This window comes from Homo sapiens, chromosome 9 (genome assembly GCF_000001405.40).
Source record: "Homo sapiens chromosome 9, GRCh38.p14 Primary Assembly".
NCBI lineage: Eukaryota > Metazoa > Chordata > Mammalia > Primates > Hominidae > Homo > Homo sapiens.
The window spans coordinates 129448503-129472779 of record NC_000009.12 but is presented as its reverse complement, the minus strand read 5'-3'; the positions used below and the strand labels follow the sequence as shown (position 1 = coordinate 129472779).

Sequence of the window (24277 nt, the reverse complement as noted above, 5' to 3'; positions counted from 1 at the left end):
AACCTCTTTCATCCTGGCCTGGGCAGGGGGCTCGGCACCCCCACCCCTCCCTGCAGCCATTTCCTGCCCTCCTGTCATCTGCTTCCTTTGATCCTTTTGTTGGAAGACTCTTGGAAGCCTCTGAGCCGTTGGCAACCCCGTCTACTGGGCTGGGGCTGGTGACCCTACAGGGGCTGTGCCCAAAGTGGGCTTCTCTTGGAATCCTGCTCTGGGAGGCAGATGGATTCTGACCACATTTGTTCATTCGCTCATTCACTTATTCATTCACAGGTTCCAGGCTCTATGCTGGGCCCAGGGGCCACAAAGTAAGCAAGACAGCCATGGACCCTGCCCTCATGGAACTCCAGCCCAAGGAACAGTGGCTCATCCCATGCCAAGGGGCTCCTCTCAAAATTCCCACAGCAGTAGCGATCTAAAGGACCTGGGCAGGGGCACTGGAATTCAAGTCCCAGCCTCTGGCGAGTGTCTTTACTCTTGAGCCCCAGTTCCATACGTGGGTACTTGCGGAGGGACTGGACCCCATATTCCCTAAGGCCTTCCAAGCTCAAAAACTGTGAGAAGATGCGGTGTGGCCAGGACGCTGCTAGAGTGAGCTTCCTGGATGCAGGAAGGGGGCTCTGGGCCCAGCAGAGAGGCAGGGTGAGGAGGCCAGAAGTATAGGGGGCCCAGTTTGACGGGAGATGGAATACACATTGTCATTTTGATTTTTTTCTTTTTTATTTAATACTGTTGATTCAACAGTAAGAATACACATTGTTGATCAGAAAATGAATAGAGCCTTATCCCCAAAGACAACAAGCCTCTTCTCTTTATCTTGTATGGGGCCTCCACAACCGGCTCAGGACAGGAGTTAAGTCCATGCTGGGAAGGGGCTACCATTTATTGAGCACTTACTATGTGCTAGGGATGCTGGGCTGAGCTCTTCATGTCAGGCATGAATCCATGGAATCCCCACTCTGGTCCTATGAAGCAGGTGCAATCATTCTTCCCATTTTACAGATGAGAACAGGGAGGCACGGAGAGATGAAGATTGCCCAGAGTCCCACAGCTTGCAAGATGCCACAGCTGGGTTTTGAACCCTGTTTGCCTGGCTTCAGCCCCCACACTGTTCTGTCCCCTGGTGACTGAATGGGGGGACCTCCAGGCATCAGGACGCTGGGCTACACAAGGTAGCAGACTTTCTGGGGTCTGCCTCAGTAGTTCCAGTCTTGTGGCTGGGTGGTTCACCCCCTTTCCCTCAGAGGGTGGAAAACAGTCAGAGAAGACAGCAGGAGGCCCACCTGCCACAGGAAGTCCTTCAGAGGACAGCAGTAGGGACTCCTAGAATGGCTTCCCCACCCACCCTTCAGGGCTCCTGGAGTCCCAGCAAGGCTGGCACCAGCTCCCTCAAGCCCTTTTAGGAATTGCCAGTGGCTGAGCTTCTCCTAGTTCTTGGTGTGATGGACTCCTATAGAGCTCTCAACACCCTGCTCAGGTGCCCCTCAACCTCCCTAGGATGACTCAATCCCTCCTCTCTCAATGCCCTCCTCTGCATCTGATACCCTTTCCTATACACACTGCGACTCGTACTGTGGAAACCTGCAAACGTGTGCTCGTTGTTGATAGTACAGCAATACCAGCCTCTTCAGCCAGCATTTTTTCTGTGCCGGGCCCCATGCCATGTGCACAACCCTCACCAGCACCTGGGACTGTTCTTACCCCCACTTTACAGATAAGCAAGTTAAGGCACAAAAAACACTTAGGTGTCTTATCCAGTGATCCAGGGAGGCCAGGCACTGTGGCTCACACCTGTAATCCCAGCATTTTGGGAGGCTGACAAGGGCCAATTGCTTTCACCTAGGAGTTTAAAACCAGCCTGGGCAACATGGCGAAACCCCATCTCTATGAAAAATACAAAAATTAGCTGGGGGTGGTGGCGCATGCCTGTAGACTCAGCTCCTAGGGAGGCTGAGGTAGGAAGATCACTTAAGCCTGGGGAGGTCAAGGCTGCCGTAAACTGTGATTGCGTCACTGCACTCCAGCCTGGGAGACAGAGTGAGACAAAAAAACAAAACAAAACAAAATACAAAACTGTGACCCAGGGACCACCTGCAGGGAGTGCCTGTCCTGGCCATGCCTGGATTTCTAACCCCATCCTTAGTGTCTGCCTTCCGGCCTCCTGGGTTTTACTGCCTCACAAGGGGCCCTTTAGGAACAATTGTTTTGTTTTGTTTTGTTTTGTTTGAGATGGAGTCTCGCTCTGTTGCCAGGCTGGAGTGCAGTGGCGCAATCTCACCTCACTGCAATCTCTGCCTCCCGGGTTCAAGCGATTCTCATGCTGCTCAGCCTCCTGAGTAGCTGGGACTACAGGTGCACACCGCCACACCTGGATAATTTTTGTATTTTTAGTAGAGATGGGGTTTCACCACATTGGCCAGGCTGGTCTCAAGCTTCTGACCTCCAGTGACCCGCCCGCCTCAGCCTCCCAATGAATAATTGTTGAATGAATAAAGGAATGAGAAGTCAATTTTCTCCAAGGTGCTTGTGGCTGACTTGTCCCGCCCCAGACCATGCAGCTCCACTGCTCCCCTTTCCCCGCACATCTCCCCACGGATTTGGGTCCCACTGAGTGGCAGAGACCAGAAGCCCTGCCTCGCCTCAGCCTGGACTCGCTGTGTGACCTTGGTCAGAGGAAGCAACATCTCTGGCTTTCTTTTCTTCTTCTGTGCAGGAGTCCCTGCCCAAACCACATCTTCTCTCTCTTGTGATGCTCAGACCAAGGAGCAAGCCGTGGGGTGGGAGGACCTCCAGTGCCTGGGAGGAGCAGGGGGTGCTTCACACACAGTGCGGCGAGGCTGAGACCACGTTCTCAGGGGAGGAGAGTGGCTCTGGGCCTCGCGACCTCACACCCTCCCTGTAGGTACCGAGCTACGCATCCCCGCCTGGGTGCAGCTTGTGTTGGAAAAGAGTCCCTGCCATCCAGAAGCCCCAGAGCCCCGCCCACCCTACTCTGGTTGCAGACCCTTCCAGCATCTTTGGCAGCCTCGCCACCCCTGGGCACAGCAGGAGCAACCCCAGTGCCCAGGGATGAAGCACCTACCGTGTATCAGGCCCTCCTGGAGCCCCAGCTCACTGACCCTAACAGTGACCTCCTGGGGCAGTCCTGTTTTTATCCCCACTTGATGGGTGGGAAAACAGGCTCAGAGGGGCCAGGTCACCAAGTGTCACAGCTCCCAGGAGCACGTCACAATTGCATGGGGAAGGGGGAGGGGTTGCTAAATGCCCATTCCTGGCATTCCTGGGCCCCTCCGCATCAGCAGAACGAGTCTCTGGACCGGCTGGGAAGCTGCAGTTTTCCTCAGGTGCACTGCTCACGGGAGTTTCATGTAACCTGTGGTCCGTGGAGGCACAGAGAAGAAAGGGTCAGGGCCAGGGTCCCTCAGCAGGGAAGGGCCAGGGCCAGGACGTTGGCCTCCAGGCTGGAGGGCTTGGCACATCTCAACAGCCAGTGGCTGTGTCCCCATGCCAGGATCTGTCCCCTGGTTCCTCTTCCTTACCGACAGGAAAGGACACATGGCTGCACTCAGGCAGTCTAGACATGTGTGCACGTGTGCACATACATTCGACACAGTGTCATGCCGGTGCACACTGTCCACACACACACACACACAGGTACACTGTGCACACACATTCGACACAGTGTCACGCCGGTGCACACTGTCCACACACACACACACAGGTACACGGTGCACACTGTCCACACACACACACACGTACACTGTGCACACTAGACACAGTGTCACGCCGGTGCACACTGTCCACATGCACACACACAGGTACACTGTGCACACACATTTGACACAGTGTCACGCTGGTGCACACTGTCCACACACACACACACAGGTACACTGTGCACACTGTCCACATGCACACACAGGTACACTGTGCACACTAGACACAGTGTCACGCCGGTGCACACTGTCCACATGCACACACACAGGTACACTGTGCACACACATTCGACACAGTGTCACGCCGGTGCACACTGTCCACACACACACACAGGTACACGGTGCACACTGTCCACACACACACACACAGGTACACGGTGCACACTAGACACAGTGTCACGCCGGTGCACACTGTCCACATGCACACACACAGGTACACTGTGCACACACATTCGACACAGTGTCACGCCGGTGCACACTGTCCACACGCACACACACAGGTACACTCTGCACACATGCAGAAACACTGTACACACTTGCACACAGTTGTACACTGTGCACACACCTACACGAGACACACATGCACACTTGCACACATATGCACTCCCCACCTGCACACATGATGCACACTGCACACACACATGCACACATATGTTCACACATACACACACCCACACCTGCACATGTGCCACTGGTGTTGCATTCTGTGACCACCCACTGGCTGCAAAGTCAGAGCCTTCTCCGACCCTAAGGCAGCGGCTGCCAATTTATGTGCTCCTTCACTCAGGCACCTGACAACAATGCACACAGGCGAGCAAGAGAGGCCAGCACCTGCCCTCAGGGAGCTTCCTGTAGGGCAGCCCCAAGTAGTTCAGGTTTCAGAAGCGTTTTGAAGACTGCAATGATGGAGGGAAGGCAGAGCATGCGGCCTGGGCCAGATCCTTCCTGGGAGAGGTGACGTCCAAGCTGAGATCTGAAGGTAGGGGCAGCCCTGGGAAGAGCTGGGGACACCTAAGTGGCAGGAGTGGCAAGTGCAAGGCTGGAGGAGAGGAAGGGGCGGAACTGTGGGAAATAGAAGGAGACCAGGGGCTGCGAGGAGGAGCAGGTCAGTGCTGGGAGATGACCTCGGTGGAGCCTTGGGTGGGGCCGGTGCCTGGACACGCGGGGCCTGACGCAAGCCCAGTGCATCTTTAAAGGGTCCCTAGGCTTCCCTGGGGCTGCACTGAGGAGGTGGGAGGGAAGAAGGAGGCAGGACGCCCAGGGAGGCTGGTGTCCTGGGAGAGATGGTCCAGCTGTACTTGGGGGTGGCTGGGGGGAGAGGGGGGACAGATTTGGTGGCAGAGGGAGCAGGACTTGATTATGACTGAGTATGGGGGGAGGGAGTCATGGAGGACCCCACATTTTGGGAGCTTAACTTTTCAGCACTTGGAACCAAGGAGCGGGTGAGGTGAGGAGGGCAGGGGGTTGGGGTGAGGAACCAGCCATAGGCTGGGCACCCCCAGGACTGCTGTTCCACTTCTCTTCTACAAACTCTCCTGGGGCCTGTGGGCTCTGACCGCTGCCACCCCCCACCCCCTCATTCTCCTGTGTCCGATCAAGGCCCCGTGCAGTGTTTGCTCAGCTGCCAGGCCCTCTGGGGCGGGTGGCTGAGTCTGTCCATCTGCATCTACCCGTCTCAGAGACGAGGAAACCTAAGGAACAAGAATGGGGGGCTGAGAGAAACCCCCACCACCCAGGGCAAGGCCCTCCTCCTCTGCGGAGCTTGGGATGCCTCATCCGGGAAGTGGGAAGTCCAGGCCGAGGCTTCTGTCCTCTGCTGGCTGCAGGCAGGGACCCCATGTCCTGGGACTTGGCCCCAGGACTGCCAGCTGTCTACCCATGAGGCCTCCACCTGCCACAGACCTGTGGGTTTCCATCCAGTGCAGCTCCCCGCTGCAGCCTAAGAAGGGCAGTTCTAGGGGCAGGACTGTACTGAGGAACCCAGCAGAGCTGTGGGGACTCAGGGCCATGGAGAGTCCCCCTACCCACTTCTCTTCTATGGGCTGCCTCAGAGATGGCCCCCCATCCAGCCCATGGCCCACCCTCTTTGACCCTCACTTTCTTGTCCTGTCAGATCTACCCTCTATACCTTCTTTTTATTTTTATTTTTTTTTTTTTTGAGACAGGGTTTCACTCTGTCACCCAGGCTGGAGTGAGTGCAGTGGCACCATCACAGGTCCCTACAGCCTCAACCCCCTGGGCTCAAGCGTTCCTCCCATCTCAGCCTCCCAGGTAGCTGGGACTACAGGACCACATCACCATACCTGGCTAATTTTTGTATTTTTTGTAGAGACAGGGTTTTGCTATGTTGCCCAGGCTGGTCTTGAACTCCTGGGCTCAAGCAATCCTCCTGCCTCAGCCTCCCAAAATGCTGGGATTATAGGCGTGAGCCACTGCGTCTGGCCTACATCTTTTTAATCACTTCCCTTCCCCGACTTTTGCCGCCCTGGTCCAGACCCCCATTATCATCCAGATGTCTGCAGCAGCCACCTTGGTGGCCTCCCTGCTTCTGCTCTGCCCTGCAATCCTTCTTCCAAAGGATAGCCAGAGCAGTCTTTCTGGAAGGTGCTTCTGAATATGTTACTTCCTGCCTAAAACTTTCCATGGCTCCCCATGACCCCTCCCACCCCGTGGGATATTGAAACGAACATGCCTGCAAGCCGTGTTCTAATGAGTCCTGTTCCTCTCGCCCCAGGCCTTTGCGCACACTGCGTGCCCCTTGCCAGAGCATCCCACACCCTCAGCCTGGTTGACTCCTATTCAAGCTTTGGGTCTCAGGTTAGACCTGCTCTTCTAGAAGCCTTTTGTGCTCCCTCCCCCTAACAATAGGCAAGGTCAGGGGCTGCCTCCAGCCTCCCATAGACCCTGGTGCCCCCATTATACCCCTGACCACACTGGGCCCGTCTTCGCCTCTGGTGCCTCTCCATGCCTGGCACACAGTAGGTGCTCAGGAAGGAATTGTGGATATCGCCTTCCCTCCAGGGAAGGGCGGGGGGATTGCTGAAAAACAAGACCTGCTCAGACCTCCCGGCTACATGTGGAGGGCAGAGAAGGAGGGGCCCTGGAGCTCACACCAGAGACACAGCTCCTGCGTGGGCAGGACCTACATTCCTGACTCGGGAAGCCATTGAATAATAATTGTCATAGCAAATGGAATTCCTCATCTATATGTTCCCAACACAGTTCCATGAACGATCTTGATCCATCACCACCAAGGGAGGAGGTGCCTGGAGGGCACTGCCCACAGAACCCCACGCCCTGTGCTGAGAGCTGCACCTGCTCAGGCTCATTCTGTGCCCTTATCACCCCCACTTTACAGAGGAGAAAACCGAGGCTCTGCGGGTGGGTGACTCGCCCCAGGCCGCTGAGTCACAGTGCGGCTGGGATGGGAATCCAGGCACTAGCCCAGGCCTCTGGCTGCCCACGTCACTGCCCACCACCTGGCCGGCTTTGGGCGCTCCACCTAGACTCTCCGGCCTCAGTTGTTATTCTGTAAAGCGGACATCTGAATAATAATTAAGATTTGTGAAATCAGCTGCTCAAAAGTGCCTGGCAGGTTAGTGTGATGGCAGGCAGTTTTCAGAAGAGGAGGTTCAGAGAGGGGCAGCGAGATGGCCGTGGTCACAGAGCATGGGCATTTGGGTCAGCCTCTGAGGGGGTGGAATTTGGTGAGATCTCTGTTAAGCTTCTCTCTGAAATCACAGGCGTGGGGCTGGCCACGTGGGTGGGCCGGTTCAGCCATGTCATTGGAGAGAGTCCAAGAGGCTCAGTGGTGTCAGGGCTGTGGCTTTGACGGGAGGGGAGGGTGCATGGCCACTCTGCTGGTGAAGGGAGCTTGGAAGGGGGCCATGGAGACCCCAGCCACTCCGAGGCCAGAACCCTCCTTCTTGGCAAACGCTACTGGGTCTCAACCTAGCGCTTTATCCTCCTCCCCTGGCACAAATCTGGGAGGCGCTGGTGTGAGCCTCAGCTGCAGGAAACGAATCTAGAGCATCTGCAGCCTGGCCCAGCCCTGTGAGATGAGCTGGGATGGGACCCCAAGGTGGGCTCTGGGCTGGTCCTGCCATGTCACCTGGCCCAGTCATGCCCCTCTCTGGCATGGAGTGGGAGCTGGCCAAGCCCCTCCTGGCCTGGTCCCTGTGGGAATCTTAGTTCAACCCCATCCCACCTTGCTGGCTCCGGTGGGGGATGGGATTGTCTGTAAGGCAATAAGGGCAGCTGGTTCTGGGGCTTCAGAAAATCCCCTCCTCTTCAAGGCTTCATTCTCTCTTTTTCTTTTTTTTTTTTTTGAGATGGAGTCTTGCTCTGTTGCCCAGTTGGAGTGTGGTGGTGCGATCTCTGCTCACTGCAACCTCTGCTTCCAGGGTTCAAGCAATTCTCCTGCCTCAGCCTCCCAAGTAGCTGGGATTACAGGGATGTGCCACCATGCCTGGCTAATTTTTTTTTTTTTTTTAAGTAGAAACAGGGTTTCACCATGTTGGCCAGGCTGGTTTCGAACTCCTGGCCTCAGGTGATCTTCCCACCTCGGCCTCCCAAAGTGCTGAGATTACAGGCGTGAGCTACAATGCCCGACTGAGGCTTCATTCTCTAATGAGCAAAGGATGAAAACCGGCTGGTCAAAGCTGTTCATAATTACAGCTCAGAAAACCAAGAAAATAGCCCACGCTGGCTCTAAACTTGAGAGAAGGCCCCAGCCAGGAGCTGAGGGTGGAGGTTATGAAGGTCTCAACACCTCTGGAGAGCTCCTGGGATCCGCACCTGCCCACCATGGAAGAAGTCATCTCTTTGTCTTCCAACCAGACAGTGAACCCTGTGGAGGCAGGGGCTTTGTTCCTGCTACACAGGGGACTCCATTCACCTCCTGAGATAGTCACTGGGTCCCTGGGCTGTGCCTCTGTGCCAAGTGCAGGGGCTCAGAGAGGAGAGGCTGCAGGCGCTGCCCCCGGGAACCCACAGTTGGGCTGGGAAAGTTACCCAAAGGCTGAAAACTATAACACAGTGTGACAGACGCAAGGGAGGTGGACATAACCCAGACCTCCAAACACCGAGCTCTGTGTCAGATCTCATTGGGGGTCCTTACCCCCATTCACCAGACAGGGAATCTGAGGCTTACAGGAAGTAAATGGCAGTGAAGAGGGAAGCTGGAATTTCCACCAACACAGAGCCAACGCCACAGCCTCCTCCAAGCCGCATTCAGGGGCTTGGCACCCTCACAAGGCCCCGTGCTCACCCCTGAGCAGGTCCCACAAGAAGCTGCAGGGCCAGTCTGTGCCCTGCATGCTGCCCCCACTTCAGCCACAAAGGCCCTTCCTGTGGATTCGGGAATGTGCCGTAGTCCCACCAGCACAGGCCCTTTGCACGTGCCTGGAACGCTCTTCCCTAGGTTGTAATTGTCACTGTTTGTCTCTGTCACCCCAGCCAGCCCACGAGGATGGAGTTAGGGCTTGTTCCCCCCTTATTAACCCAGGGAGTGGCCAGGCCTGGCACGGAGCAGGGGCTCCCCTTCTGATGGGAGGCCATGAAGGAGTGGTGGAGGTCGAGCTGAAGCAGCTTTGTCTTGCAGTCCTGCAGTCCTACAGTCCTGTTATCTGCCCTGGATCAGGCACCCATGATTTGCCCAGGATGGAGCCGAACAATTTACCAACACTGTGTAACTGAATTCTCAGAACCAACCCAGGAGGCTGGTACCATCCTTCTTCCATTGTCATGAGTGAGAAATGAGGTGACCCACCCAACATCAACATGGTAGAGCAGGAATTTGCTTTTTCAATGTATTGAGGCATAATGGACACTGGATACCTGCACATATTTAAATCGCACAGCTTGATGAGCTTTGGCACAGGTGCAGCACACCCCTAAAACCATCACTACCATCAAGACGGTGAACACACCCACCCCCACCCCACCCCACTGCCTCCTGTCCCAACAAAAGTTTCCTCATGCTGGCTGGGCACAGTGGCTCACACCTGTAATCTCAGTGCTTTGGGAGGCCAAGGTAGGAGGATCATCTGAGACCAGGAGTTTGAGACCAGCCTGGGCAACACAGAGAGACCCTGTCTCTACAATAAATAAATAAATACATACATACATACATACATACAAAAATTAGCCAAGCATGGTGGCATGTGTCTATGATCCCAGCTACTTGGGAGGCTGAGACCTGAAGCCAGGAGATGAAGGTGTCACAGTGAGCTATGACTGCGCTACTGCACTCCAGCATGGGCGACAGTGAGACCCTGTCTTAAAAAAAAAAAAAAAGAAAAGAAAAGAAAGAAAAAGTTTCCCATTGCCAATTTGTAGTCCTTCCTGGACCCCAGCATCCCCAGGCAACCACAGAGCTGCTTTCTGTCATTACCGACTCGCACGCATCTTCCGGGACTTCACACCGACACAATCCCCCATGCCTTGCTGGTGGCTGCCGGCTCCTCTCCCAGTCATGGTGCTGTGGTGCTGTGTGCACGGTTGTTCCGGCTCCTCTCCTGGTCATGGTGCTGTGGTGCTGTGTGCACGGTCGTTCCTGTTGGTGAGTCGCCTTCCATGGGACGGATGTGCCACAACCTGTTGCTCCCTTTGCCTGCGGGACGGAGCAACACTGTGCTGTCTCCAGTTTCCGCCTTTTACAAATAAAGCTGCTGTGAACACTCATGTGCAAGGCTCTGTGTGGAGGTGAGTTTCATTGTTTTCTTTTTCTTTCTTTTCTTTTCTTTTCTTTTCTTTCTTTTTTTTTTTTGAGACATGGTCTCGCTCTGTCGCCCAGGCTGGAGTACAGTGGCGTAATTTTGGCTCACTGCGGCCTCAACCTCCCTGGCTCAAGCGATCCTCTCACCTCGGCCTCCTGAGTAGCTGGGACTACAGGTGTGCACCACCATGCCTGGCTAATTCTTTTTTTTTTTTTTTTTAATTGAGACGGAGTTTCGCCCTTGCTGCCCAGGCTGGAGTGCAGTGGCATGATCTCGGTTCACTGCAACCTCCGCCTCCCAGATTCAAGCGATTCTCCTGTCTCTGCCTCCCAAGTAGCTGGGATTACAGGCATGCACCACCATGCCTGGCTAATTTTTGTATTTTTTGTAGAGATGGGGTTTCACCGTGTTGGCCAGGCTGGTCTTGAACTCCTGACCTCAGGTGATTCACCTGCCTTGGCTTCCCAAAGTGCTGAGGTTACAGCCGTGAGCCACCACACCCGGCATATATATATACATATATGTTTTTTTTTTTTAGACTCTCGCTCTGTCGCCCAGGTTGGAGTGCGGTGGCATGATCTCTGTTCACTGCAAGCTCCACCTCCCGGGTTCAGGCCATTCTCCTGCCTCAGCCTCCAGAGTAGCTGGGACTACAGGCACCCACCACCATGCCCAGCTAATTTTTTGTATTTTTAGTAGAGACGGGGTTTCACCGTGTTAGCCAGGATGGTCTCGATTTCCTGACCTCGTGATCCGCCCGTCTCGGCTTCCCAAAGTGCTGGGATTACAGGCATGAGCCACCGCGCCCGTCCAGTCTTTAAATATTTTGTAAAGACAGGGTCTCACTATGTTGCCTAGACTGGTCTTGGACCCCTGGGTTCAAGAGATCCGCCCGCCTCAGCCTCCCAAAGTGCTGGGATTACAGGCATGAGCCACTGCGCCGGTGGAGATTTCATTTCTTGGAGATAAAAGCCTCGGAGTGCCATGGTCAGATCCGTGGTAAGAGTATGTTCAACTTTTTTAAAAGTGCCAAATGTTTTCCAAAAGTAGTCGAACCACTTCTCATTCCTATCAGCGGTGGATGAGGGTCCCACTGGAGTGTGGGATTTGAACTCAGGCCCAGCCCACTCCAGAACCTGTGTCTGTCCCTGCCAAGCTTCAGGGATCCTCTCTGAAGGCCTTGGAGAAGGAACCAGCAGACAGCCGGCGGGGGCGGTGCTGGGATGCGGGCTCCGGCCTCTTTGCATCAGCCGAGGGTCCCTCCCTTGTAGCTGGGTCTGGCTTCCTCCTTGAACAGAGTGCTGCCTTCCCAGGGGCTCCTGGAGGGCAGGGGTGGGCACTCCGTGGGCACCAGGCCCACGAGGGGCTCCAGACCCTCCGCGGACCCTTGTCCCTGGCTGGGTTGAAGATGCCCGGAGTCTCCCAGGCCATGCCAAAGGCTTGTGGGGGTGGGGAAGGGTGCGAGGGTTTCACCAGGCACGCGCCAGGGAAAGGGCTTGTCCCTTGAGCTCCGACAGACAAGGAGGAGGAAGGAAGCCACCAGAACCCAGGCAGCGGCCGGGGGGAGAGCCAGAGAGTTTAGCAGCCAAAGCGGGGAGGGGCGACCCTCTCCTTCCAGACCCCAGGGAGGTGGGCAGAAAGCGGGAGGGGCGCGAGAAGGGAGCAGGGATTCTTCATTAAAACTGAACCCCCGGAGCCGGGCCCGCGGCGGCCGAGCAGCCGGGCTGCAGGCGGCCTCCCTCTCGCGGCGCACAGAGGCCCGCGCCGGCTCCAGCCGCCCGCGGCCGACCTCGCGCGTCCTCAAAGCCAGCCTGTCCCACTTCCCCCGCCGGTTGCTACAGCAACTGAGCTCTGAGTAATCAGCTGCACGGTGACCTTTCTTCCCCCGGAGAGCGGGAGGGAGGGAGCGGGAGGGCGGAGGGAGGAAGGGAGGGGAGGAGAGAGGGGGGAGGAGGAGGGAGGAGGAGAATGGAGGGGAAAGATGGAGAGGAGGAGGGAGGGAGGCTGGAGGGGGGAGATGCAGGCGGGGGAGGAGGGAGGAGGAGCAGGGGGAGGCTGAGCTGCTGGTCAAAGCTGTAAATCCCTGCAGCTGGGGTCTGAGGGCTTTGCGGGGAGGAGCTGGCAGTCAGAAGGCGGGAGAGAGGAGGGGGCGGCCGGCAGCACCGTGGTAGGGGGAGGGAGGGGTAGCCAGGGAACTGACCCGGACAGATTCCCTCCCAGGCACCCCTGGCGCCCACCCCTAGCCCCTCCCGGGATGCTCCCCCGAGTCCTCCCTCGTGGAGAGGTGAGGGGACTGTGAGAGAACGGCAGGTCCCCAGTGCTCTCTGGCTCACAGGACAGCCCTCCCGCCTCCGCAGCCGCCTTGATTCCACCATTCCCCAGATGGAAAAACTGAGGCTGGGAGGCTTGTTTACAGTGTCAGGGCCCCGAGCTTGGCCCCTGGGACAGCCCCTCACCCCACAACCGCCACTAGCTGGCAACCAGGTGGAGGAAAGTTCTGGTCCACGCCCAGCCTTCCCACCTCCCTGATCTCTGGCCTCAGTTTCCCTGGTTGTAAAGCAAGGATCCCCACGGCATGGTGTACGCTGCAGTGGCGGGGGAGTTAGGGGGCTCCATGGAGCTTCTCACACCCCAGTGTTGATTTAAGATTCTCTAAGCGCAGCAGAAGCGCGGTGAGGCGAATGTGAGAGGGCCGGGACTGGAGATGCTGGGGATGGGGTGGGCATACTTAGGAGAAGGGGCCCCACAGGTCCCGGAGCGGCCAGGTAGCTGGGGCACCACCCAGGCCCCCTCAGGCGCGGAAACCTTCCTGCTACCTGGTATCCTGCCTACCCCCCCCAGCTCGGCCGCCCTGGGGCCTCTCCGGCTCCAGCTCTTGGCTGGGCCTCGGTGCCAGCACAAGCCCTATCACCCGCCGGCCCTGGGGACCCGCCAGCCGCCTGTTTACGAGGCCAGCCAGCCCCCCGTCACAGCCGTGCCCACGGGGTGGGGGAGGGACGACAGATGGCGGAGGTGCCATTTTAACCAGAGTCTGCAGCCGTTGGGGAAGGAGAGGAAGTAGCCCAGGGCTGGAGGGAGCTGGGACCTTCTGTTGTTGCTGCCCCTGGGGCACCTCCATCCTACCCCCTCTGCACGGGCACCTCTCCCGAGCTCAGGTCTGAGTGGCACAGATCCAACAACCTCGTCACTGGGGCTGCCTAATCTTCCATGGACTCTGTGGGTGCCCCTTGGATCAGCGAAGCATCCGGGGTCCCCCGGGGGCAGGGGCTATAGGGGCAATCTCTTAAGGCTCCACTGTGAGGAGGGCCCCATGACTTCTCCAGCCCACAGCAAGGATCCCCCACCCCCACTACTGACTATGAAATGCAGGCTGCAGGGAGTCACAGCAGGAGGGACCGTGGGCAGACAGGGCTGCAAAGTTCGGCCTGCCTCGAGGCTCCAGCAGGGGAGCTCAGGACGGGTTGGGAGCAAAGTCTGGGAGAGGGAGAGGGGCTCCCCCCAGGCGTTCTGTGCTTTCATCCCAGCTCAGCACCCATGTCAGCCCCAGAACCTCCCCCAGGCTTCCACATTCAAAGCTCCAGCTGCAGAGGGTGCTGACCTCGCCCCTGTGGGGGTAGGGGGCGAAAGGGGGCTTAGGGGCAAGCCAGATGGTGATATGGAGACAAACTGCATAGCTCCTCGGTAACTCTCAGGCCCGTGTTTCACAGGTGAGGACACCAAGACCAGGGGCGTGAAGCCACTGGTCCAGGGTCACCCAGCTGTTGATGGGTGCGCCAGCCCCTGATGGTCCAGGATGAGGAGCACGTGACGCTCTCAGGCCACAGAACGACCGCACTGGAGGCAGCAGCCGTGGCTGTGAGCCTGCCTGTTCCCCAGGGTTCTTGACTCTCTGGAAGCTTCCCTTTGTGGGAAACCTTTGTGCACCCAGGCTTTTGGACAAGTGACACTTGTTTGTACAAGCAGGAGTGGTTTGGATCAAGGGATCGAGGTGATAGCAAGAGCCACTCTGCCTCCCTGAGCACCCGCAAAGCCCTGCTCTGGGCCTCACATGTGGTTTTTGTTTTGTTTTGTTTTGAAACAGGGTCGGGCTCTGTCACCCAGGCTGGAGTGCAGTGGCATGATCACGGCTCACTGCAGCCTCAACCTCGCAGGTTTACACAACCCTCCCACCTCAGCCTCCCGAGTAGCTGGGACTTTTGTTTTGTTTTGTTTTGTTTTTAATTTTTTGTAGAGATAGGGTCTTCCTATGTTGCCCAGGCTGGTCTCAAACTCTTGGGTTCAAGTGATCCTCCTGCTATGGCCTCCCAAAGTATTGGGATTATAGGCATGAGCCACCACGCCAGACCCACATGCGTTTTATCATAGGATGTCCTGGCTATCCTGGAAGGTGAATGCTGCTATTATATCCGTTTTCAGATAGAAAAAAATGAGGCTTAGGGAGATGTGGTGACTTGCCTCAGATCTCACAGAACCAAGCATGAGAACTAGGATCAGAATCCACTTTTCCTTGACCTTAGAGATGGTCTCAACCCGACTTGTATCAGCCAGATTTTTCCAGATTCAGGAGTGTGGATGTTTTCCATGTCGGATTTTGCTATGAATAGAATTCTGAGTCTCAAACAGTGTGCTCTTTGCTGTATGCCAGTGCTACCTCCACCTGCCTACTTATTTATCCGCCCATCCTCCCATCCATGTATCTGCCCCTCCACCCACTCATCTGCTGATCCATCTGCTGATCCATCCATCCACCCACCCTTCTATCCACCCGTCCGTTCACTTATCCACTCACCACCCAACTATCCAAGACCTCACTCACCAATCCATCTTCCCATCTACACATCCATCCACTCATCCATCATCCATCCATCCATCCATCTATCCATCCAACCATCCACCCATCTACTCATCCATTCATCCACCCCTCCGTCCACTCATCCATCCATCCACGCACCCATCTACTCATCCATCCATCCACCCATCCATATACCCACTCATCCATACATTCATCCACTCACCACCCACCCATATAGTCATCCACCCTCCACTCATCCATCCATCCATCCATCCGTCCATCCATATACCCTCCCACTCATCCATCCATCCATCTACTCATCCATTCATCCACCCATCCATCCACTCACCCATCCATCCATCCATCCACCCATCTACTCATCCATCCATCCATCCATTCATATACCTACCCATCCACACATTCATCCACTCACCACCCACCCATATAGTCATCCACCCTCCACTCACCCATCTATCCATCCATCCATCCATCCACTCATCCATCCACATATCCACCCATCCATTCACCTATCTATGCACCCATCCATCCAGACATGCATCCACTCACACCACCCACCCATCCATCATTCATCCACCATCCATCCATTCAACCATCTGTCTATGTACCCACCCATCCACACATTCATCTACTCACCACCCACCCATATCCCTCCACTCATCCATCCATCCGTCCATCCATCCATCCACCCATCTACTCATCCATCCATCCATCTACCCATCCATCCACCTATCTATGCACTCACCCTTCCACACACTCATCCACTCACCACCCACTCATACAGCCATCCACCCTCCATTCACCCACCCATCCATCATCCATCCATCCAGCCAACCATCACCCATTCACCCATTCTCAATCCACGCATGTTTCCATCCATCCACCTACCACTGCCCACCATCCATTCATTTTATTTTTATTCTGAGCCTTGCTCCTACACCTTTTGGTTCTGAAACATATGCTTCTGTGAGCTGACTGCTGATACTGTCCCTGTGGAAGTCACTGACTCCCACCCCTGGCTTAGCACACCAGTTCTGACAGGTCCCACCAAGGCTGCAACTCCCACGTAAGAGGGTCAAGCCCCCCTTCTTCCCGCCTCACCTCCACTTGGGTGGGAATTAGACTCTGGGTTCTTTTCTTTCCTTCCTTTCCGGAGTCACTCACTTCTCCACCTGGGTATTTCAGCCCCAAGATAGAGGCCTCAAAAATGTGGAAAAAGAACAAGCCACTAGCTCACTCTCAGAGCCTCACCACCCTGCAAAAGGACATCGATTATCAGGGCACAGGGGAGCATGCCATGGGCACCTGAGCCAGTCCTGGGACCAGGCACTAGCAGGACAAGCTGGTCTGGAACTGGGCAGCCTCCACATCTGCTTCCAACCTGCTGTGTGGCCCTTGACAACAGAATAAGAATAATCGCTCCTGTCCTTCTGAGGGTTGGAAGGGAAAACATGGAGGCTTTAAACAGTGAGAGCGCTTCAGCCCTTCAGTGACAGGGCATAGAAAGCCCTGGGGGAGGAGAAGGAAGGGCAGGGGAGGAGAGGGAAGGGAGGGGGGAAGAGGAAGGGACTGACTTCCTTGAGTACTTACTATGTGTCTGCAAGGTAGCAGGTGTTCCCATCTCTTCATCTCACTGGATTCCCCAACAACTCTATGCAGCTGGCATTCTATCCCCTAGCACACACGCTTCACCGATGGGGAAGCTGAGGCTCAGAGAGGGCCGGCAACTTCTCCAAGGTCACACAGCTCCCACAGGCTAGATCTGGGACACCAGCCCCGGCCCCTCGGTCTGACTCCAGAGTTTGGCACCTTTGCCTGTGTCCCCACCCTGAGCATCTCCCCCTGAAGGTGATGGCAGGGCAGAAAGTGCCATCAGCACTCGCCTCTAAGGCAGCTTTGGAGGTTCATGCAGCCATTCAGTTAACAAATATGCATCCACTCCCTCTCTGGGTTAGGCCTCTCCCCTCCTCCTTGGGGCTCCCTGGTGCGGGCTGCTGTAGGGACTGATCTCAGCTGGCAAAGCCCTGCTTCACCCAGGCTCAAAAAAGAGTCCTGCTGCCGTCCAGCCTGAAGGAGTGGGGGCCACAGGCTCCCAGAACCGAGGCTGGGGAGGCAGGAGGCAGAGCTGTCAGCTCAGAGCAGACTCCTCTCATCAGCATGGGGCCCCAGCCTCCCAGCTTAAAGATCGCCTCGGGCGCTCTCTTAAAGATGCTAACGTTGCAGCTGACATTTGGGAGATCCTGGCAGCCGATCAAACCCAAGCTGAAAATCGGAGCTGCCGGGTGGGTGGGGTGGGCACCAGGCAGCAGGGACCCGCGCTGGCTGGGCCAGCTGGGGCCGAAGGCAGCAGGGCTCGGGTGGCTGGTTGCTGGCTATGGCTGTGCCTTCAACCTGGCCCAAGCCATCTGGGTATCCTGTGCTTTGCTGGAAAGACATGGGAGGAGGAGGAGGAGGCAGAAGGTGAGAAAGGACGAAGGAAGAAAATGGATGTGTAGAGGAGACCTGAACTTCTTTCATCCCCAAACACCAGGTTCTCGCCAGTAATCAGACCAGTCGGCAAAAAGACACCCACGGGTGAAGAGTTGTGGGACACGGATAAGATGGAGGGAGGTTCCTGGTGCCAGTTACATCTCCGGCTGCAGTGCCCAGTGGGTCCCATCCAGTGTAGGGTGTGCCCTGAGGAAGCTGAGGGGTCTGAGGAGGAGTCAGGAGAGAAAGATTCCTACTCATTCTGCCAATCCATGGTGGGGGGATGGAGAGATAGGGCAAACCTCAGCCTGCCTGAGCCAACCTTGTCTCCTTTCCATTCATCCACCCTGCCACCCACTACCTCCACCACCCACCACTGCCACCTCTGCCACCCACCACCTCCACCCACCACTGCCATCCACCACCTCCACCTCCGCCACCCACCGCCTCCACCACCCACCACTGCCACACACCACCTCCTCCACCCACCTCCACCACCCACCACCTCCTCCACCCACCACCTCCACCCACCGTCTCCACCACCTCCACCTCCACCACCTCCACCTCCACCACCTCCACCACCCACCACCTCCACCACCCACCACCTCCACCACCTCCACCACCCACCACCCCCACCATCCACCACCTCCACCACCCACCACCTCCACCACCCACCACCCCCACCATCCACCACCTCCACCACCCACCACCTTCACCCACCACCTCCACCACCCACCACCACCTCCACCACCTCCACCCACCATCTCCACCACCCACCACCTCCACCACCCACCACCTCCACCACCCACCACCCACCACCTCCACCACCCACCACCTCCACCACCTCCACCACCTCCACCCACCACCTCCACCACCTCCACCACCCACCACCCACCACCCACCACCTCCACCACCTCCACCCACCACCTCCACCACCCACCACCCACCACCTCCACCACCTCCACCACCTCCACCCACCACCTCCACCACCTCCACCCACCACCTCCACCTCCACCACCAACCACCTGCCCTTTCCTCTGTCCAGTCCACTCCTCCCCTGCCCTTCCACCTGCCCAACTTGCCTGTCTGCCCTTCCATCCATCAACTGCCTGTCTGTCTAGATCTCCAGTCATCCCCCTATCCATCCATCCATTAATTCATCCATTCACCATACATCCCCATCCCTCCATTTCCCATCCTCCATCCCTCCATCCCCCATCCCCCATCCTTCCATACCCTGATCCCTCCATCCCTCTATCTTCCATCCTCCAATCCCCATCCCCCATCCCTCCATCTTCCCATCCCCCATCCCTCCATTCCCCATCTCTCCATCTTCCCATCCCCCATCCCTCCATTCCCCATCTCTCCATCCCCTGATCCCTTCATCCCTCATCCCTCCATTCCCTATCTTCCCATCCCCCATCCCTCCATCTGCCATCCCCCAATCCCTCCATCCCATCCTCCAATCCCCCATCCCCCATCCCTTCATCTTCCAGTCCCCCATCCTCCATCCACCATCCCTCCATCTCCCATCCCCCTATCCCTCCATCCCCCACCCTCCATCCCTATCCCTCATATTTCCATTCCCCATCCCTCTACCCTCTCACCCTTCCATCCCCCATCCCCATCTCCTCATCCCCCATCCCTCCACACTCCATCCCCATCCCTCTACTCCATCCCTCCATCCCTCTATCCCCCATCCCCCCTCTTCCACCCCTCCATCCCTCCATCCCCCATCCCTCCATCCCTCCATCCCCCATTCTCCCATCCCTCCATCCCCCATCCTCCCATCCCTCCATCTCTCATCCCCATCCCTCCATCCCTTCATCCCCATCCCCCATCTCCTCATCCCCCATCCCTCCATACTCCATCCCTCCATCTCCGCATCCCTCTGTCCCTTCATCCTTCCATCCTTCCATCCAAAGAACATTTCTTCAGCACAGGAGAGGTGCACTCAGCCCAGTTTCGGGGCTAGGAAAGGCTTTTAGGAGGAAGAAACCTACGCTGAGACAGGAGAATGAGTCGGAGGCTCCTAGGCTAGAGAGGAAGAGAAGGTATTCCCAACAGAGGACAGGAGGCAAGAGGCCTCTTGAGGGCCATCCAGTTGCATTCTGGCAGTCACTTCAGAGCGGGTGGCCCACCAGAGCACAGGAGACGCTACTTAGGCTGGAGTGGGCAGCAGGGCCAGGCCGTGGAGCTGGGACCACCTGCCCGGCATGGAGCAGGGCCAAGCGAGAAGGGAACGTGGAAGGTACAGAAGGCCAGGTCCTCGTCCTCTGGCTGTTTACCACCGGCCCTTCCAAACAGGCCTGTCCCCCACGTCCCTCCAGGCTTCCCAATCCTTTGAACTCCCAATATGCTCATAGTTAAAACCTGCAGTTCCACCCCTGCAAGCTTTCTGTTGCCGTGTGTGCATTCCAGCTTCTTTGGGCAGGGCTGTGCCTTATCCTTCTTGGTGTCCTGCCCCATGTACTTGGCCAGAGCCCCCCAAATATTCAAGAGATAAAAAATACAGGTGGCCAGGCACGGTAACTCATGCCTGTAATCTCAGCACTTTGGGAGGCTAAGGTGGGAGGATTGCTTGAGGCCAGGAGTTTGAGACCAGCCTGGGCAACAAAGTGAGAACCTGTCTCTCTATAAAAACAAATCAACAAACAAAAACACAAAAAATATGAAACCTCCCCCTAAAGCCTCCTCCTCCTCTTCTTCCTCTTGGGGCTCCTGAGTATTGGCCTTATCCCCTTCCTCTCTCCCCAGCACCCCGCCATATCCAGTCACCAGCATCTAATGATTCTGCCCGCAGCACACCTGGACTCTCCACCATCCTCGCCCTGCCTGGTCACCTACATCGGCGGGAATGGCAGCCGCCTTCTCTCTGCCCTTCCTGCCTCCAGGCCACACACACAGTGCAGTCAGAGGAGTCTTTCTAACACATAAGCTGGGCCACGTCCCCCTCTCCATTGTCATGCCTCCCGCTGCCCTCTGGATAAAGTCCTAAATCCCCGCCACAGCCTGAATGACCCTTCCCAGGCTGGCCCATGTCCACTCCTCTGGGCTCCAGGTTCATCCCTCTAAGACATGAGAGCCATCCAGTTCATTGCCGTCCACACTGCGTCTCTGAATCCACAGTCCTGGCTCCTGCCCCTGGGCCATCTTGGCTAACAGCCTAGAAGAGTCCCGAGTCTTCAACTGCCTGGTCAGACCCCCACATCATCCCGTCCCCGTGAGCTGGGAACCAAGTCCGTGTCCTCCACACCACGTCCAACACCTGACTGGCCCTGGGGCAACAAAAAATCTTGCACTGGCTGCCTGAATATTAGAGTTTACCCCCCAGGCCCTCCCTCCCTGGGTCTGACCGTTCCCGTTTGCTGTTTGTGCCTTAAACCAAAGCCAACTGCTTGGCCTCTTCTCTGCCTACAAAACATTTTTACCGATTTTATGGCTGCGAAAATTTCCTTCCTGTCTTCACATTCACAGGAAAGAGAGAGCCCTGGCCCTGACTCAGAATTGGATTGTAGCTGGAGGCGTCCTCTCCAAGCCGGCTCCAGAGAAAGGGTTTATCTGTTTGTTCCTTGACCTTGAGCAGCCACTGAGGCAGCCAGAAAGAGGAGAGGCAGGAGCTGGGAGGAGAGCGAGGAGCAAAGCTGGGGACCCTGCGCTCTGCCCCGAGGGACCCACCAGCCAGGTGACCGGAAATAAGTCGGAGGGAGGAGGCAGCCGTGCTGTGTGCAGGGCCAGGGCCACGGAGGCCCAGGGGGACGTGAAGCAGCGCCTCTCTGCTGTGGCCCTGCAGGTCCGTGGGCTGTGCTGCCTGCCTTTCCCCATCCCCGGTCCCCCTGGAAACTGAACAAAGAACTGGAAGGAGACGTCAGCCATCCAGGCAGGAGCCGACCCTGCCCAGCCATCCTGGGGCAACTGCGGCTGTCACAGACCCTGCCCCAGTGGAGGGAATAGCCCCAGGCAGTCTGACCTTGTCCACAGCGAGCTTCCACACTAGGGGTGGCGGCACCGGCAGGGGCAGGAGATAGAGAAAGAGACAAAGAAAAGGAACCCTTCTCAAAAAGGCCTCTTCCTCCTTTCTGCTCCTGGTGCGTGACTAAAATGTAACCCAGACATTTATTGAGCACCTTTGTCTGTGGTATCCTTACCCTCAATGGGCCAACCGTCTTTTCTTCAGCTGAATTAGGGGCAGGCTTAAAGTGGGAACTGTTTTATTTTTGCCAAAAGAATCTCATTGTTATTACATAAGTAATGCATGCCTATTGTAGATATTGTAGAAAATATAGATGAATCCAATGAAGAAAATATAACCACTCACTCTTTTTTTTTTTATATTAGAGACGAGGTTTTGCCATGTTAGCCAGGCTGGTCTCGAACTCCTGGCCTCAGGCAATCCACCCGCCTTGGCCTCCCAAAGTGCTGGGATTACAGACATGAGCCATCGCACCCGGCCTAATACAACCACTGTTAATCCCATCCCTTATCGATGACCCTCTTTGGTTGGCCCCCTTTGGTATTTGGAGGGGTTGGGTCTCCTCCTGGTCCTCTGTATCTGACATTTGCTTCGAGCCTTGCACACAGTGGACATGGAAGATGACTTTATGGCTGATCACTTATCTGTGTATTCATTCTTCACTAACCCAAGGAGTATTCACTGAACCCTCAGGAGGTAACCATTTAGTGGTGTTTTAAATTCTTTGGGAGGGGACTGGGCACATTGGCTCACATCTGTAATTCCAACACTTTGGGAGACTGAGGCGGGTGGATCACTTGAGCCCAGGAGTTCGAAACCAACCTGGAAAACAAGGCGAGAACTTGTCTCTACTAAAAATACAAAAATAATTAGCTGGGCGTGGTGTTGTGTGCCTGTAGTCACAGCTACTCAAGAGGCTGAGGTGGGAGGATTGCCTGAGCTTGGGAAGTCGAGGCTGCAGTGAGCTGAGATTGTGCCATTGGCCTCCTGCCTGGGTGACAGAGTGAGACCCTATCTCAAAAAAAAAAAGAAAAAAAAATGGCCAGATTCGGTGGCTCATGCCTGTAATCCCAGTACTTTGGTAGGCCGAGGTGGGCGGATCATGAGGTCAGGAGTTCGAGACCATCCTGGCCAACATGGTGAAATCCTGTCTCTACTAAAAATACAGAAATTAGCCGGATGTGTTGGCGTGCGCCTGTAATCCCAGCTACCCAGGAGGCTGAGGTAGGAGAATCGTTTGAACTCGGGAGGCGGAGGTTGGAGTGAGCTGAGATGGCACCACTGCACTCCAGCCTGGGTGACAGAACAAGACTCCATCTCAAGAAAAAAAAAAAGTGATAAAATAAGCATAAATAACTTATTTGGGAGTGGAGAGAGATGTGTGGAAACCCAGACTGGTGCCCGTGTAACCCAAATAAAAGCTGGGCTTCCATGTAGTTCAGTCGCTGCCTCCTGGGACCTGATAATCCAGCAGTCACAAGTCATTTAAACGAACTTTCTGAATGTCCTTGTGACTCCCGAAGAGCCTCAAAGGGGCCGAATTCAAACCCCACAGCAACAGCTCTCACCAGCGCCCGTTTCCTTGCTCCGGTTCTCTCCATTAGACTGGCTGTTGTTTTGCGCATGCTGGAGGCTGCCTGACAGTCCTGACACCAGCCTGCATTCTCCCCTTCTCCCTCGAATATTTGTTATGTAATGTGTTCAGTGGGCAGACCCTTCCCCGCCCGTCCTCATGATCCATGCCCCTCTGGTGAGTGGTTCAGAGCCCACGCTCTGGAGCGAGACCCTCTGGGTCCAAATCCTGGCCCCGCGAGTCACACGCTGTGACTTGACCCCGCGCTACCCAAGGCGCGGTCCGAGGATCAGTGCTGGGCCACACACTGTTTGTGGACACGACACGCTAACTATAGAACTGAGGATAAGCATTTAGCAACTTTCATAGCAATTTGACACTGCCTACATCCCATTGTGACTGTGTATATTATAAAAATATCATTCCTGACAGATTGGAACATTTTTTCTCGAAGTTCCTTCATCACAGATAGTTTGGGAAGCACGGATTCAGCCTACTGTGTGCCTCAGTTTTCTCACTAGTGAAATGGGAATAATGATGGTCTGTAACCTCACCACATCCCTGAGAAAGTGTAAAGGAGTAAAATTAGGGAGGGCTCTGAGGCTGGGGGCTGGGCATTGCAATCGCTCAGTAAATGTCAGTGTCACTATCATTTTGACACATTCTCCAGATTCTGCATTACAAACACCAGATTCTCCTCTGAGGGCAGAGGAGGAATTGTTGGGGAGAGAGTGGACCCCATTCAGTGTATCCTACCCCACCCCAAGTTCCTATAGCTTTTAGCCAATCCTTGAGATTGGAACACCTCTATCACTGCATCCAAAACCTTTCAGGTTTCCAAAGGAACTACTGGGTAGTTTATTCATCCACTTAACAAATATCTAGGGCCAGCACCATGGCTCACGCCTGCAATCCCAGCATTTGGGAGGCTGAGGTGGGCAGGTCGATTAAGCCTAGCAGTTTGAGACCAGCCTAGGCAAGATGGCAAAAGCTCATTACTACAAAAAAAAAAAAAATGCAAAA

General features: G+C 55.9%; 7 annotated features.

The window, feature by feature from the left end:
- Positions 2417-3228: an enhancer, noted in NCBI's record as "H3K4me1 hESC enhancer chr9:132231831-132232642 (GRCh37/hg19 assembly coordinates)". NCBI's record gives its function as "activates a minimal SCP1, AML or CMV promoter by ChIP-STARR-seq in naive H9 embryonic stem cells {active_cell/tissue: H9 hESC(naive)}" and the evidence as "EXISTENCE:reporter gene assay evidence [ECO:0000049][PMID:30033119]".
- Positions 3229-4040: an enhancer, noted in NCBI's record as "H3K4me1 hESC enhancer chr9:132231019-132231830 (GRCh37/hg19 assembly coordinates)". NCBI's record gives its function as "activates a minimal SCP1, AML or CMV promoter by ChIP-STARR-seq in naive H9 embryonic stem cells {active_cell/tissue: H9 hESC(naive)}" and the evidence as "EXISTENCE:reporter gene assay evidence [ECO:0000049][PMID:30033119]".
- Positions 11871-12494: an enhancer, noted in NCBI's record as "H3K27ac-H3K4me1 hESC enhancer chr9:132222565-132223188 (GRCh37/hg19 assembly coordinates)". NCBI's record gives its function as "activates a minimal SCP1, AML or CMV promoter by ChIP-STARR-seq in primed H9 embryonic stem cells {active_cell/tissue: H9 hESC(primed)}" and the evidence as "EXISTENCE:reporter gene assay evidence [ECO:0000049][PMID:30033119]".
- Positions 11942-12231: a silencer, noted in NCBI's record as "silent region_20378". NCBI's record gives its function as "represses an Ori minimal core promoter by ATAC-STARR-seq in GM12878 lymphoblastoid cells {active_cell/tissue: GM12878}" and the evidence as "EXISTENCE:reporter gene assay evidence [ECO:0000049][PMID:35858748]".
- Positions 12626-13146: an enhancer, noted in NCBI's record as "H3K27ac-H3K4me1 hESC enhancer chr9:132221913-132222433 (GRCh37/hg19 assembly coordinates)". NCBI's record gives its function as "activates a minimal SCP1, AML or CMV promoter by ChIP-STARR-seq in primed H9 embryonic stem cells {active_cell/tissue: H9 hESC(primed)}" and the evidence as "EXISTENCE:reporter gene assay evidence [ECO:0000049][PMID:30033119]".
- Positions 13147-13668: an enhancer, noted in NCBI's record as "H3K27ac-H3K4me1 hESC enhancer chr9:132221391-132221912 (GRCh37/hg19 assembly coordinates)". NCBI's record gives its function as "activates a minimal SCP1, AML or CMV promoter by ChIP-STARR-seq in naive H9 embryonic stem cells {active_cell/tissue: H9 hESC(naive)}" and the evidence as "EXISTENCE:reporter gene assay evidence [ECO:0000049][PMID:30033119]".
- Positions 14045-14094: an enhancer, noted in NCBI's record as "active region_29112". NCBI's record gives its function as "activates an Ori minimal core promoter by ATAC-STARR-seq in GM12878 lymphoblastoid cells {active_cell/tissue: GM12878}" and the evidence as "EXISTENCE:reporter gene assay evidence [ECO:0000049][PMID:35858748]".